The 12,327-nt window shown below is 57.1% G+C and overlaps 1 protein-coding gene across 3 annotated transcripts in view, besides 5 other annotated features; it reads right to left on the minus strand.

Annotated features, from left to right (window-relative positions):
- Positions 1-12,327, minus strand: part of MORN1 (MORN repeat containing 1) — a 70,302-nt gene that overhangs the window by 57,734 nt on the left and 241 nt on the right. For 2 of the 3 annotated variants that reach the window (NM_024848.3, NM_001301060.2), the window contains exons 2-6: positions 10,939-11,010; positions 9,253-9,351; positions 8,433-8,543; positions 6,821-6,911; positions 5,992-6,079 (exon numbers count right to left, since the gene is read on the minus strand). In NM_024848.3, the coding sequence (NP_079124.1) occupies positions 5,992-6,079; positions 6,821-6,911; positions 8,433-8,543; positions 9,253-9,351; positions 10,939-11,010 (461 nt within the window). Of the gene's footprint in view, positions 1-122; positions 242-5,991; positions 6,080-6,820; positions 6,912-8,432; positions 8,544-9,252; positions 9,352-10,938; positions 11,011-12,327 lie in introns of all 3 variants that reach the window. The other variant, NR_125361.2, reaches the window with a different exon arrangement.
- Positions 9,075-9,124: an enhancer, noted in NCBI's record as "active region_54". NCBI's record gives its function as "activates an Ori minimal core promoter by ATAC-STARR-seq in GM12878 lymphoblastoid cells {active_cell/tissue: GM12878}" and the evidence as "EXISTENCE:reporter gene assay evidence [ECO:0000049][PMID:35858748]".
- Positions 9,185-9,354: an enhancer, noted in NCBI's record as "active region_55". NCBI's record gives its function as "activates an Ori minimal core promoter by ATAC-STARR-seq in GM12878 lymphoblastoid cells {active_cell/tissue: GM12878}" and the evidence as "EXISTENCE:reporter gene assay evidence [ECO:0000049][PMID:35858748]".
- Positions 9,465-9,584: an enhancer, noted in NCBI's record as "active region_56". NCBI's record gives its function as "activates an Ori minimal core promoter by ATAC-STARR-seq in GM12878 lymphoblastoid cells {active_cell/tissue: GM12878}" and the evidence as "EXISTENCE:reporter gene assay evidence [ECO:0000049][PMID:35858748]".
- Positions 9,645-9,814: a silencer, noted in NCBI's record as "silent region_112". NCBI's record gives its function as "represses an Ori minimal core promoter by ATAC-STARR-seq in GM12878 lymphoblastoid cells {active_cell/tissue: GM12878}" and the evidence as "EXISTENCE:reporter gene assay evidence [ECO:0000049][PMID:35858748]".
- Positions 12,141-12,270: a silencer, noted in NCBI's record as "silent region_113". NCBI's record gives its function as "represses an Ori minimal core promoter by ATAC-STARR-seq in GM12878 lymphoblastoid cells {active_cell/tissue: GM12878}" and the evidence as "EXISTENCE:reporter gene assay evidence [ECO:0000049][PMID:35858748]".

The following is a 12,327-nucleotide window of genomic DNA, read 5'->3' on the forward strand; positions in this document are numbered from 1 at the left end:
CACGTTTATTTTCAGGAATGCATTTTTTTCTAGAATGCATTTTTAAAAAAAGGTTCTTCATAGAGCTTTGCATTAAGGAATACTGGCTGCAAGGCAGGAGACACGGTTTGCAGAAAACACACCTGCTGTCGAGAGGGAGAACAGGTCTCCCGGAGGGGCCTCACCAACCCTGAGCTCATGGTGCCTGGGTAGCAGCCGATGTCTCCTTGAGTTTCTCCTACTATAGATGGGTGGATCAGAGCTGATGTAGGAGGTGCCAAGGGCATGATCCGAGGTGGGCAGAGGTGAAGGCCAGGAGAGAGAGAAGAAAGGACTTACCACTTTCTAGTCTTTTCAGAACATAAAATGATCTCTAAAAATAAACGAACAGCCGGCGCTGGTTGGGGTGTGGCTGGAGGGGCAGGGCAGTTCTAAGAGGCAACTCAGTGTCCAAGAAGGTCCCAGCGCCTACCTCGTGGCCCTGATCGATGGTTTAAGCTCCCAGGGAAGAAGTCAAAAGGCCAAACTCCTGTGCACAAAGGCACTCCACAAAGCCTGGCAGCACCAAACATGGTGAGGGGCAGGTGCTCACGGGTGGGGGCAGCTGGTGGCCAGGACTGGGGGAGACTACAGCTGCCAAGAAGCGTCAAAGAGGGGGAGACCGGGTGCGCAGTGGTGGCCACGGCTGACAGTGGGTGGGCTTGCATCTCAATTGTGGTTATTGTTAAGAGGGCTAAACTCATTAGGGTAACCTTTTACAAAAATAACAGAAAATAACCAGTGTTGGTGAGGCTGGGGAGGAACTGGAACTGTGTGCACTGTGGGCAGGAAGGTAAAAGGGTGAGGCCGCTGTGGAGAACAGCATGGCGGTTCCTCAAAAATTAAAAACAGAATCACCATCCGATGCAGCAGTCTCACCTCTGGGGCTGTGGCCCACAGGGCCTTGAAGAGTTCTCTGTGCAGCCGTATTCACAGCAGCATCACCCACAGGACCCAGGAGGGGAAGCCTCCCCAGAGTCCACCCACAGATGGGCAGAGAAGCGTGTCTGTCCACACGGGGTGGTGGTGGTGGGGGGTGCGGGCCCGGCTCAGCCTTAGCAAGGAAGGAGGAGCTGGCACAGGCTCCAGCATGGAGGCTTCTGGGGACACCGCGCCGGGTGAAACAAGCCTGGCACGAAAGGACACCACTCACAGGAGGCCCTGAGATCAGCAGAGTCTACAAACACACAGTGGAACAGTGGCTGCCAGGGGTTGGAGCGTGGGGAGTTCGTGCTGGATGGGGACAGAGGTTCGGGTGGGAAGCTGACAAAGTTCTGGAGGTGGATGTGGTTGTGGCTACACGAAATGTGCCCGTGCCTCCTGCCACGCCACTGCACGCTTAAAAGTGGTCACGGCCCAGCGCAGCGGCTCACGCCTGAAATCCCAGCCCTTTGGGGGCCAAGGCAGAAGCACTTGGGGCCCAGGAATTGGAGATTAGCCTGGGCAACACAGTGAGACCTCGCCTCTTCAAAACAAAAAGTAGTTAAGATGCTAAGTTTTACGTTACATGGATTTTACCATGACAAAATGGTTAGTGTTTTGGTTTTTTATTTTTTTGAGACAGGGTCTTGCTCTGTCACCCAGGCTGGAGTGCAGTGGGCGTGATCTCAGCTCACTACAACCTCTGCCTCCCAGGTTCAAGCGATCCTCCCTCCTCAGCCTCCTGAGGAGCTGGGGCCACAGGTGTGTACCACCATGCTTAGCTAATTTTGTATTGTTTAAAACTTCTTTTGTAGAGACAGGGTCTCCCTGTGTTGCCCAGGCTGGTCTTGAACTCCTGGGCTCAAGCAGTCCTCCCACCTCGGCCTCCCAAAGTGCTGAGAGTACAGGTGTGAGCCACTGTGCCTGGTCGACAAAATGTTTTTTAAAGCGGGCTAAATATTTGACTAATGACACCACAAGCAACGGCTGTCCCCTCACTCTGGACAGCTCTCGGGATGTGCGGCCTGACCCCCGTCTCTGGCGGCTGCTGCCTCTCCGGGTCGATGCCGTTTTCTCTCCAGGTTGAAGGTGGAGGAGAGGCACTGTGACCGGAGGGCCCAGCGCTAAGATGCAGAGCAGAGAACTGAGCAGCTGAGCCAAGAGAGCCTCGCTTCTCCTCATTATCCAGAGTCCAAGGGACAGACCTGGTAATGTCTTCTTGCACAAACAGCCATGTGAAAACCTCCTGCCTCTGAAGCGTGGTCTGGCAGCCACGGCTGTGCTGCGTGGGAGGCGGCCCCGGCCCAGTCCTGACCTGAGGGGATGGGAGCCCAGCCTGTCCTTTTGGCCTCGGGCGCCCTTCTCAGCGTCTACATCGGTCTGGGCAGGAGGAATGCCTGGAGAAGGCGCTGGAGGAGCAGGCAGCTCACTGGCCATGGTCTGCCCGTGCCTGCAGGTGTCAGCAGCGTGGACGAGGCCAGGGGACTGCTGCCACCAGTGACACTGCCCAGAGCACCCCGTGGGGCAGCAAGCACCAGCACACAGCAGTGTCCCCAGGGAGCTCAAGCCACGGGCCTGCCTGGGGAGGGTGTGCGGGCCTCGGTTGGCAGGCGGTCCCAGGGCCTGCCCAGGTCTCCCAGTCCTCTGGGCCTGGACGGCAGAGGAGTGGGGAGGTCATGTTATAACCCCAGGGAATGTAGGTCACGCGAAGGGTTTGGCACCAAGACTCTCGCAGAAATCCTCTGCAAAACCCTCTGCAGAATTCAAGGTTTTACCACCAAGGGGAGAAACCATCCCAAGCAGAAAGGCCTGGGGGGCCGCTTGGGGGCCCGGCTCTCAGGAGTACCCAGCCAGCCCTTGGGCCCAGTGGCCATCCCAGGCCATCCTCCCCCGTCCAAACTCATGGCTTGGGAATAAGCTCTGGGCTCCCGGGGAGGAGCTGCCTCCCTCCAGCAAGGCCCGGGCCAGTGTGGTGCCGGGACAGGGCTGGGCTGCCCCCTGGTGGATGCGCTGAGCACCCTGGTGCTGTCAGCCCAGGAGGGAGGGCGCCGTCCCTTGCCTGGTCCTCTCTCTTGGCCCAGGGCGCTGGTGACCAGCAAGCAGTGTGGACCCGAGTTGGCGCCTGGGTAGTAGCCAGGGGACCTGTGGGACAGAACAGCCTCTGGGGACAGGGCTAGGCTGGGAGTGGGGGTGGGGAGGACAAAGCTGTCCATGGTCCTCTGGAAGAACAGGAGCTGCTTCTCGCCCGGCCCAGGCCGGAGGGGATGGCCCTGTCTGGCAGCAGGCGGCACCTCTGTGTCCCTGGGCCATGAGACAGGCCCTGACCAGGTCCTCCTGAATCTCAGGGAACATGAGGATTGGGTGAGTGGCTGGGGGCCCCCAGGGCTGTGTTGCCCTGGTGAGGGAGCCTGCCATCCTAGCACCTCAGCTTCCTCACCTATGCCCTGCTCGGACTGGTGGGGATCATGAGCCAATGCACCGAAAGGCTGACAGCAGCGCCTGGCACCCAGGAAGTGAAACCACACACCCGAGCCCAAGCTCCAGAGCTGTGCACCAGCGCCGGCCCCAGCTTTGCCCTAGCCCTGCAAGGCGAGGGAATCGTCATGGTGGCAGTGGGGTGGGGGCCCGGGTGTGCTCGGGTGGGAAGGGGCGGGCAGAAGAGAATTCTGCCCAGGGACTCCCTTAGGCGCACTCTCCCACTGCCACTCTGGACAGTGAAGACAAGGGAGCAGTGGCTGCCCCAGCACGTGGTGAAGTCTGGTCCTGTAGGATGGACACAAGTCCCCAGGGGAGAAGAGGCTACAGCATCTCCTGCATATGGCTCAGGTGAGAACCCGCAGCACCAGCCCAGGCCAGCAGGGGCAGCAACGACGCTGACATGGGCTCCCGTGGTCCAGCAAGGACACTGCCAATGGTCAACTGCCCTGAGCAGGGCTGGCAGACCCCGGAGTGGGTATGGGTGGCACTTTTACCCAAGCAGGATGCTGTTTCAAGAGCAGGGAGGGTGGACATGCATGCGGAGGGGAGCCACACTGCACCTCCCGCCTGACCACCCCTCCAGGGGCCCCACATCTGACCACCTCTGAGGCCCTGCTGCGGGCAGCTGTGCCAGCCAGGATGAGTCTCCCATCCCCACCCCCAACTCCTCCATCCCCATGTGGCCCCATGCCAACTGCCAACCCATCACCTCTCAGTTCCCAGCACCCCCCTTCCTTGCCCACTTTTGCCTGACGGGAACTGGACCCTGTCAACGTTTCTCCTTTGCCAACAAGTGCAATGCCAGGCTTTGTCAACAGAGAACAAGGCGGGACTGTGGGAGGTAGTGTTTCTACTTTAACTCCTATGGCCAGGGCCAGTGGCCTGTGGAACACCCCAGAGTCTGGTCTCTGGCAAGCGTCTCCTGCACCTCAGGGGGAGTTTCCTGAGAAGTAGCTTTGGCCCCTGGCACCCTAGAAAACCTCTCTACCACCTGGGCTGGCAGCCACACCCTCTCTGTGGAGGTCTGAGTCTCAGGAGGGTGCTGGGTTCCTCCTAGTTCCAGGGACCATTCTCTCCAACCACTGCTCCAACTTTCATAGGAGAATCTTGGCAAGGAAGGGAATTCAACTGACATTGTAATTCTGCGACCCACACAATTAAATGTTGCGTTTCTCATCAAAGCAGCCCCGAGGCTCTAAGGAACGAGGGACTCCTCTCCACGGCCACAGCAGTCCTGATTCTCAGGCTGTGACCTGCGCTGCGTTTAGAGACCTGCACGCGTGGTTCCTATCTGTTAGTGCTGCTGGACGCTCAGGGGGCCCCTCACAGCCCTTGCAGTCATGGTCATCTTCGTGGCTGCGACAGCCTCACACAGCAGCACCTGGGTTTCTGAGGCTCTCAATTCCGCTAGTGCCTCACGCCCAGCATGGGGGATGGCTTGGTTAACCGTGAAGCACCCCCACACTGTGGACCAGCAGCCTCCCCTTCCCACCAGCCAGGAGCTCAGGCCTGCAGCCCAGCCCAAGCAGCAACCACACCACTCCCAGACTCCACCGCAGAGGGTCTGTCTCCGGGCCCCCTCCTGACACTGAGACGTTGCTCTTCCTTCTCCTGCCCTTTTTGGTAGCTAGCTGCCTCGTCCTTGTTGGTGACTCTTTCATTACGTTTTTCCCATTGGAGTGATGGGTGTGGTTTCTGTCTCCTGAGTCGTCCTTGTTAGTGATTTTTTCATTACATTTTTCCCCATTGGAGTGATCGGTGTTGCTTCTGCCTCCTGACTGTGTCCTGAACCAGGCCCCACTGTCCATCCAATGCTCAGACCGAAAGCTCAGGCACCAACCTTGACTCTTCTCTTGCCTTTGCCCGCACATCCAACCTGTCAACAAGTCTGGTGTCCTCTCCTCCAAACATCCTGAAATTTGCTCTCTGCACTCACGGGGCCGCTGCCCCATTCGCCCGAGAACAATCCTAGTCCCTGCCTTGTAGGGCCTGTCACAGACCAGAATGTACCACCCCCAAATCTGCCTCTTTGGCATCAGCACTATTTTGAGCAGATTATTTTGAGAAACTGCAGACACAGGAGAAGCTCCCTTTTGTAAGAAAAAATTTGCATCCGTAAAGGAAGTTCCACGGTAAGGGCATCTCCTCTCCGTACCAGGAAGAGAAAGGCCCCAGATCGCCGAGGCGCAGAGGCTCCCATCGGTGGAGAAGGCCCCGCCTCAGCTGCGCCACCAGTCTTATCCCCGTGACTGGCCCCCAGCACCCTTCTTCCTTTGGTTTGGCTGAAGATGGGATTTAAGTCAAAAGTGAGAGCCGCCTGTGAGCTTCCCTGCCTCTCCGCGTACCTCCTGAGTATACACAAGGCACACATATGAATACACTCCTGTTTTTCTCTTTTCCCAACAGGGAACTGTGAGGGGAGAGAGAAACTTATCTTCCCACACGGGATCAGGGAATCGCAGGGCCTGGCACATGGAGAAGCTGCCAGGGTGAGGCTCCCCATACACCCCACGCGCCCTGCCCACCACGAGGCCTGTACCCTCTGGGCAGCAGGTGCCGCGCGCCCCCGGGTACCTTGTAGGTGGAGCCGTCGGCGCAGCGCAGCACCCCGTGTCCCTGACGCCGGTCCCGGACCCAGTCGCCGTCGTACTTGTCACCGTTCCTGGGGGACACACGCACGGAGTCCACTCTCAACAGGGGGAGCCGGGTGGTGGCAGTGACTCAGACCGGCTCCTCCCACCGGGCTCCGCAGGCACTGCGGGACCGAGGCAAAAATAGGCCCGAGCAGATGGCCCCAAGAGCTCCTGCCTCGCCAGGGCCAGCTGGGGGCCGACGACAGGCGGTGGGGACACGTCCGCCCACCCCCACCCTAGATGGTAGGCCTGCTCGGGACGCACTCAGCTTCCGCTACTCAAAATGGGAAATGACCCAGGAGAGGCAACGGGAGGGGGCTGCAGTCTCCACAGCCAGTGAGGCTGAGACTCCGCCGTGGGAATTTCCACACGGGCTGAAGATGCCTAGCACTTGGGAGGCGGAGGCGGGAGGCTCTGCTGGCCGGAGAGCACCCCCATCCTCATTTAGACCTGGAGACGCTCCTGTGGTGCCACTTTGCCGCCAGCCTGACGTTCTCAGGAGGTATTTTAATCGGGGGGGGGGGGGATGTTTTATCTAAACACACAATTGGTCAATTTCAATAAACAAGGGGAAAATTACAGAATAACACCGAAACCACAGAATGTGGTTCAACAACTTGGCACTGGGGGGGTGGCGGGTAGACAGCAGGGGCCGGAACAGGCCCGGGGTGTCCCATGGCAGTCCTGTCTACACCCCCAGGCCACATGGCCTCACACCTGCCCTGTGTATCTGTCATGCGCCAGGCAGTACCCACAAGACTCATACTCACTGAAAGAGCATCTGCCCAGGGCCGTGCCTCTTGTTGTCATGGAAGGAGCCCTGGTACACTTGTCCATCCCGGTCCACCAGAAACCCGTGTCCTGGAGAAGGGACCGAGAGACAGACTTGGCTTTGTGCCTCCTCCTGCATCTGAGAAGGGATCTGCCCTCCGCTCCTTGGAGGGCGGGCAGGAGCAAAGTAGCAAGTCTAGGAGGCATGGGGCTCAGGGCCCCCCAGGAACATGACAGACCCTCCAGACCTGGCTACACAGAGGCCTCAGCACGGCTCGGTGAGGCTCTGAACGGGAAGGGCAGATGTGCTTTGGGACAGGTCGGTGAGCTGACAGGGCAGCAAAAATGGCCCTGGGGTCCAGTTCTGAAAGGTGCGGTTGAGGGGCCCTGCGGACTGCCATCTGAGGCTGCACAGGCTCTGCGTGCTGCTGGGGTGAGGATGGGTGCAGTTTGGGCCTGTCGTTTGTTTTCACAAGAAACTTCAAGTTCACAGTGAGGAGGGCAGGGCTTGACCTGAACGAGGAGAAACTCAAAAGAGGATGGGGGTTCGTAAACTGCGGCATTTTCAGATTTTGGACAACTCAGAAATTTGAGAGTATTTCTGCTTCTTTTGTTTTTTTTGTTGTCGTTGCTTTGCTTTTGAGACGGAGTCCCGCTCTGTCACCAGGCTGGAGTGCAGTGGCACGATCTCGGCTCACTACAACCTCTGCCTCCTGGGTTCAAGTGATTCTCTTGCCTCAGCCTCCTGAGTAGCTGGGATTACAGGTGTGTGCCACCATGCCCAGCCATTTTTGTATTTTTAGTAGAGTCGGAGTTTCACCATTTTGCCAAGGCTGGTCTCAAACTCCTCATCTCAGGTGATCCGCCTGCCTTGGCCTCCCAAAGTGCTGGGATTACAAGCGTGAGCTACCACGCCTGGCCTCTGCTTCTTAACATAAGGAAAACACTGGAAAAAGAAGCTCCGTCTGTGGTGGAGGGTATTATGTGCTTGACTCCTGTCTCGGGTGCGGGTGGCCTTTTGGCTGTGGGACTACGGCCCGTGCTGGGCCTGGCTTGGCTGGGTAGAGGGACAGGGCACAGCCCCCTCCTGGCTTGAGTCTGGCCTCCTGACTTGCTTGGGCCAACAGAATGTGGAGGAAGTGGCTAAGCTGTCCAAGACTACTGGGCAAGGAGCTGGGCTTCCCAGGCCTATGAGGACCTCAGGGACCCTCAGGCCTGGCAGAGTTGCTGTGACTATAGCCATTTAGTGACCCCACATAGACCAGACCAGAAGCCCCTCCCTGCAGGGCCCAGGCCAACCTACTGACCCCAGGATCAGGAGCAGTTAATAAAGCAGTGGCCATTTTAACCCCTAAGCCACGGGCGTCTGTTCCGCGGTAGCGGATGACAGAGCTGCATCAAGCGCCGCAGGACCCGCTGGGCATACTGGTGTATGCCGGGCATAGGACATGGCCTGGTGGTGCGGAGAAGAGGGCATGGGCCCCCTACCTCCTTTCCAACCCTCTGAAGTCAGGCAGGCCCTCTCAGAGGTTCCTGAACCCAAGTGGACGTAGGATTCCATGTCCTGAAAGCGCCCACCCTCACAGCACCCGGCTCCTGTGGGCGCCAGACCTTCCCGCATGCCGTGGGAGACCTCCCCTTCATAACATCCGCCGGCTTTGTACTCCATGACGCCGTAGCCTTGAGGCTCTCCCAGAACAAACTGTCCAGAGAAGGTGTCTCCTGCATGTGGACAAGGAGGAGGGGAGACAGGAGGTTCAGTTCAGGGCTGCGGCCCCAGTCGGCTCTCCTCTGTCCCTGGCCCATGACACGCAGGAACCATTCCAGAATGGACGTCCCTGCCTCCATCATACTACTCAGTCTGCTTCATGAGGGAAAACATGGTAAGCAGGTCTGGTCTCCCCAACAGCTGGGCATGCAGACAGCCCCAGGCAGACACTCTCTTTGGGCATCTATCCCGAGGGCAAAGGACCCTCTGGTCGGTTTGCAGGGTGAAGGGTGAGGTTTTTCCCTGGCTCTTTAAAAACTGAAAGCCAAGCCTGAGAGAAAACACCTCCACTGAGAACCCACCGACCCCTCTGGCGTGAGGGTCTGAGGTTCCTGGACACACAGCTCCCGGCAACGAATCCCCAGAGCTGGTTTCCCATCTAGGGATACAATGTGGCTGAAATAGCTTTAAATAAAAAAGAAATAGTGTAACTTGGGACAGATAAATCTTTATTCTAGAAAAGTGTCTCCGGAAGCCTGAGTTGCTCTCAGCGGTGACCACAGAGCCTCAGTCAGGTCCCCAGGGCTTCTCGGTAGGCCAGGCCTCTCACGGCACAAAGCTTCCCGTCTACACGTCACGCCTTCTGCATCTAGACTCGGCGGACCAACTGAGCCCGATGGGTTATGAGAAAGGAGTGAATGTGCCATCCCAGCTAGAGCTCACCTGACCAGGCCCAGTGCCGGCGGCCTTCTCCCGTGATCTCTCCGTCCACAAACGCCCCTTCGTAATAACTGCCATCTTTAAATAACAACTTCCCGTGACCTGGCAGGAGAAATCGTCACGTGAACTCAGACAGTGGTTGGGTTGACTGCGAATGACACTGTGCAGTGTTGGGCCTGTTTCTCAGAACCAAGAGCTTGGCTTCAAAACTTGTGTTTGGCTCCATCACTCATGCTATACATGTATTTAAAAATAAAAAAATGTTCTCAAAAATATCTGCCGAAACACGCTTGAGCGGCCGGCGCCTTCAGCCAGAACAAGCACAGGAATCGAAGTGCAGGCAGCCAGCCTGAGCAACACGGAGAGACCCCGTCTCTACACAAAATTTTAAAAATTAGCCAGGTGTGGTGGTACGTGTTTGTGGGTCCAGCTGCTCAGGAGGCTGAGGTGGGAGGATCCCTTGAGTCAGGAGGTTGAGGCTGCAGAGAGCCATGATTGCATCACTGCACTCCAGCCTGGGCGACAGAGCAAGACTGTCTCAAAAAAAAAAAAAAAAAAAAAAAAAGAGAGAGAGAGAAGAAAACTAGGCAGAGTGGCTGGGCGCAGTGGCTCATGCCTGTAATCTCAGCACTTTGGGAGGTTGAGGTGGGCAGATCACCTGAGGTCAGGAGTTCGAGACCAGCCAGGCCAACATGGCAAAACTGCATCTCTACTAAAAATACAAAAATTAGCTGGGCGTGGTGGCAGGTGCCTGTAATCCCAGCTACTCATGAGGCTGAGGCAGGAGAATCACTTGAACCTGGGAGCCGGAGGTTGCAGTGAGCCGAGATGGCAGCATTGCACTCCAGCCTGGGCAACAAGAGCAAAACTCTGTCTCCAAAAAAAAAAAAAAAGAAAAAAGAAACAAAACTGGCAGAGAGCAGATACAAAACTGCGTGAGAGGAGTACAGTGGCGGGAACGTCCACACCACCAAAGGTTCACGGCACTTGCCTGGGGTTGGTGGGGGTACAGGTGTTATCGACTTTATACTTGCTTTTTTTGTTCTGTTTTGAGACGGAGTCTCAGTCTGTCACCCAGGCTGGAGTGCAGTGGCACAATCTCAGCTGACTGCAACCTCTGCCTCCTGTGTTCAAGGGATTCTCCTGGCTCAGCCTGCCAAGTAGCTAGGATTACAGGTGTGCCTTACCACAACCAGCTATTATTGTCTTTTTAGTAGGGTCAGGGTTTCAGCATGCTGGTCAGGCTGTTCTGGAACTCCTGACCTCAAGTGATCCGCCCACCTTGGCCTCCCAAAGTACTGGGATTACAGGCGTGAGCCACTGCGCTTGGCTTGACTTTACACTTTCTTTCTTCTATTACTTGGATTTACTACAAGAGTAGGTTCTCTTTATAATAGGAAATAAACCATAAAGCCAGTTTTCAGTCTGGAAAAGACAAATGAACTCAACCTCTAGGGAGAATTTCAAAGTCGCAGCTTCCTTTGCTAAAGGTGGCCCTCCAGGGGGGTCTCCCAGGCCTCTGTTTCCCCTGCCCATCCAGCCTTACCCTGAGCAGCCAGGGAAGCACCAGGGTACAATGGGCTCGAAAGCTACAGGAAATGCCACTTGCCCACCCAACCTCCCGGGGAGAAACTGGTTTCGTCAGCTGTGGGGCAGCAGCTGCAAGAAGAGACCACAGATGCTTCTCACCGTGCTTCCTCCCTGCTTTCCATTCTCCTTCATATCGAAAGAAGGAATTTGGGTATACGTAGACACCATAACCTGAGTATTGAGAAGACACACACAGGTAAGCACAGACACAGAGATGAGGGATGCTCTCCAGTGCTGAAGGAGGGAGTGCAGCTCCCTTGAGGGCCTTCAAGGGGTTGGTACACGTCACCTTCAGCAGACCAGAGGCGACCTGTGGGGCTCATGAGCTCTCCTGTCGACTGTTGGGCCATTCATTTGCTCATTTGTTTATGTGACAAGGATGAGGACCTACTTGGTGCAGAGAAGACAGGCCCAGTAAGAGGAGGGCTGGCTTGAAACAACTGCAGGTCCTTGAGAGACCAGAGGTGCTCGGGAGGTGGTGAGGAGCAGGTTGGGAGCCTTGTTGCAGGAGATGAGTGAGCCAGGGGAAGGCAGAGCGGCAGTGTCAGTGAGGCACACAGGGGAGGAGCAGACTCTCCCATCCCCTGCCGTGGCCCTTCAGTGGCCTCCTATCGCTGGGGAGAAAATCCACACTCATACCCAAGGATGGCCTGGCCGGCTTCATCTCCTCCTAGTTGCTGGGTGTGCCACCCGCCAACTCCTGCAGTTCCAGGAATGGGCAGGGCTCCCTCCCTACCAGCTCCTCAGGCACATTTTGTGGGCAGGGTTTATGGGAAAATGTCGGGGAGGAGGGCAGGGGGTTACTACAGGCTACTGTATCTGTCCCAAATCAGGGTCAGGTTCTACCTGAAGATAGTAGTGTTAGCTCTGAGTTCATTCCAGACCCGTTTATTTGATTCTAGAAACAGTTCCTATCAAAACCTGCTCTTTTTTTTTTTTTTGAGACTGAGTCTTGCTCTGTCGCCCAGGCTGGGGTGCAGCGGCGCGATCTCGGCTCTCTGCAACCTCCGCTTCCTGGGTTCAAGCGATTCTCCTGCCTCAGCCTCCCGAGTAGCTGGAACTACAGGAGGCACCACCCCGGGCCAATTTTTGTATTTTTTAGTAGAGACCGGGTTTCGCCATGTTGGCCACACTGGTCTCGAACTCCTGACCTCAGGTGATCCACCCGCCTCGGCCTCCCAAAGTGCTGGAAGTACAGGCAAAAACTGCTTTTGAAACGCGTCCTAGCGTTTCTGGACAGCACCGGCCAGGAAGTCAGGAGGCTTGGTGCTGCTCCTGCGCCTGCCCTCGCCCCAAGTCCTGGGCTTCGGGATCCCCATGGCAACCCCAGGTCCCGCTGGCTGTGAGGCTGCGGCCGGAACCCGGTCTTCCCGGCTAGGAGCCCGCGGGGGGCGACCCCCTGCAGGGCTTGGCCTGCTGCGGGAGGAGGGCTCGGGGAAGGGTGCGAGCCGAGCCCGAGGCGCACGGCGAGTCCTGTGGGAGTGGGGG

Source organism: Homo sapiens, chromosome 1, assembly GCF_000001405.40.
Source record: "Homo sapiens chromosome 1, GRCh38.p14 Primary Assembly".
NCBI classification, from domain to species: Eukaryota; Metazoa; Chordata; class Mammalia; order Primates; family Hominidae; genus Homo; species Homo sapiens.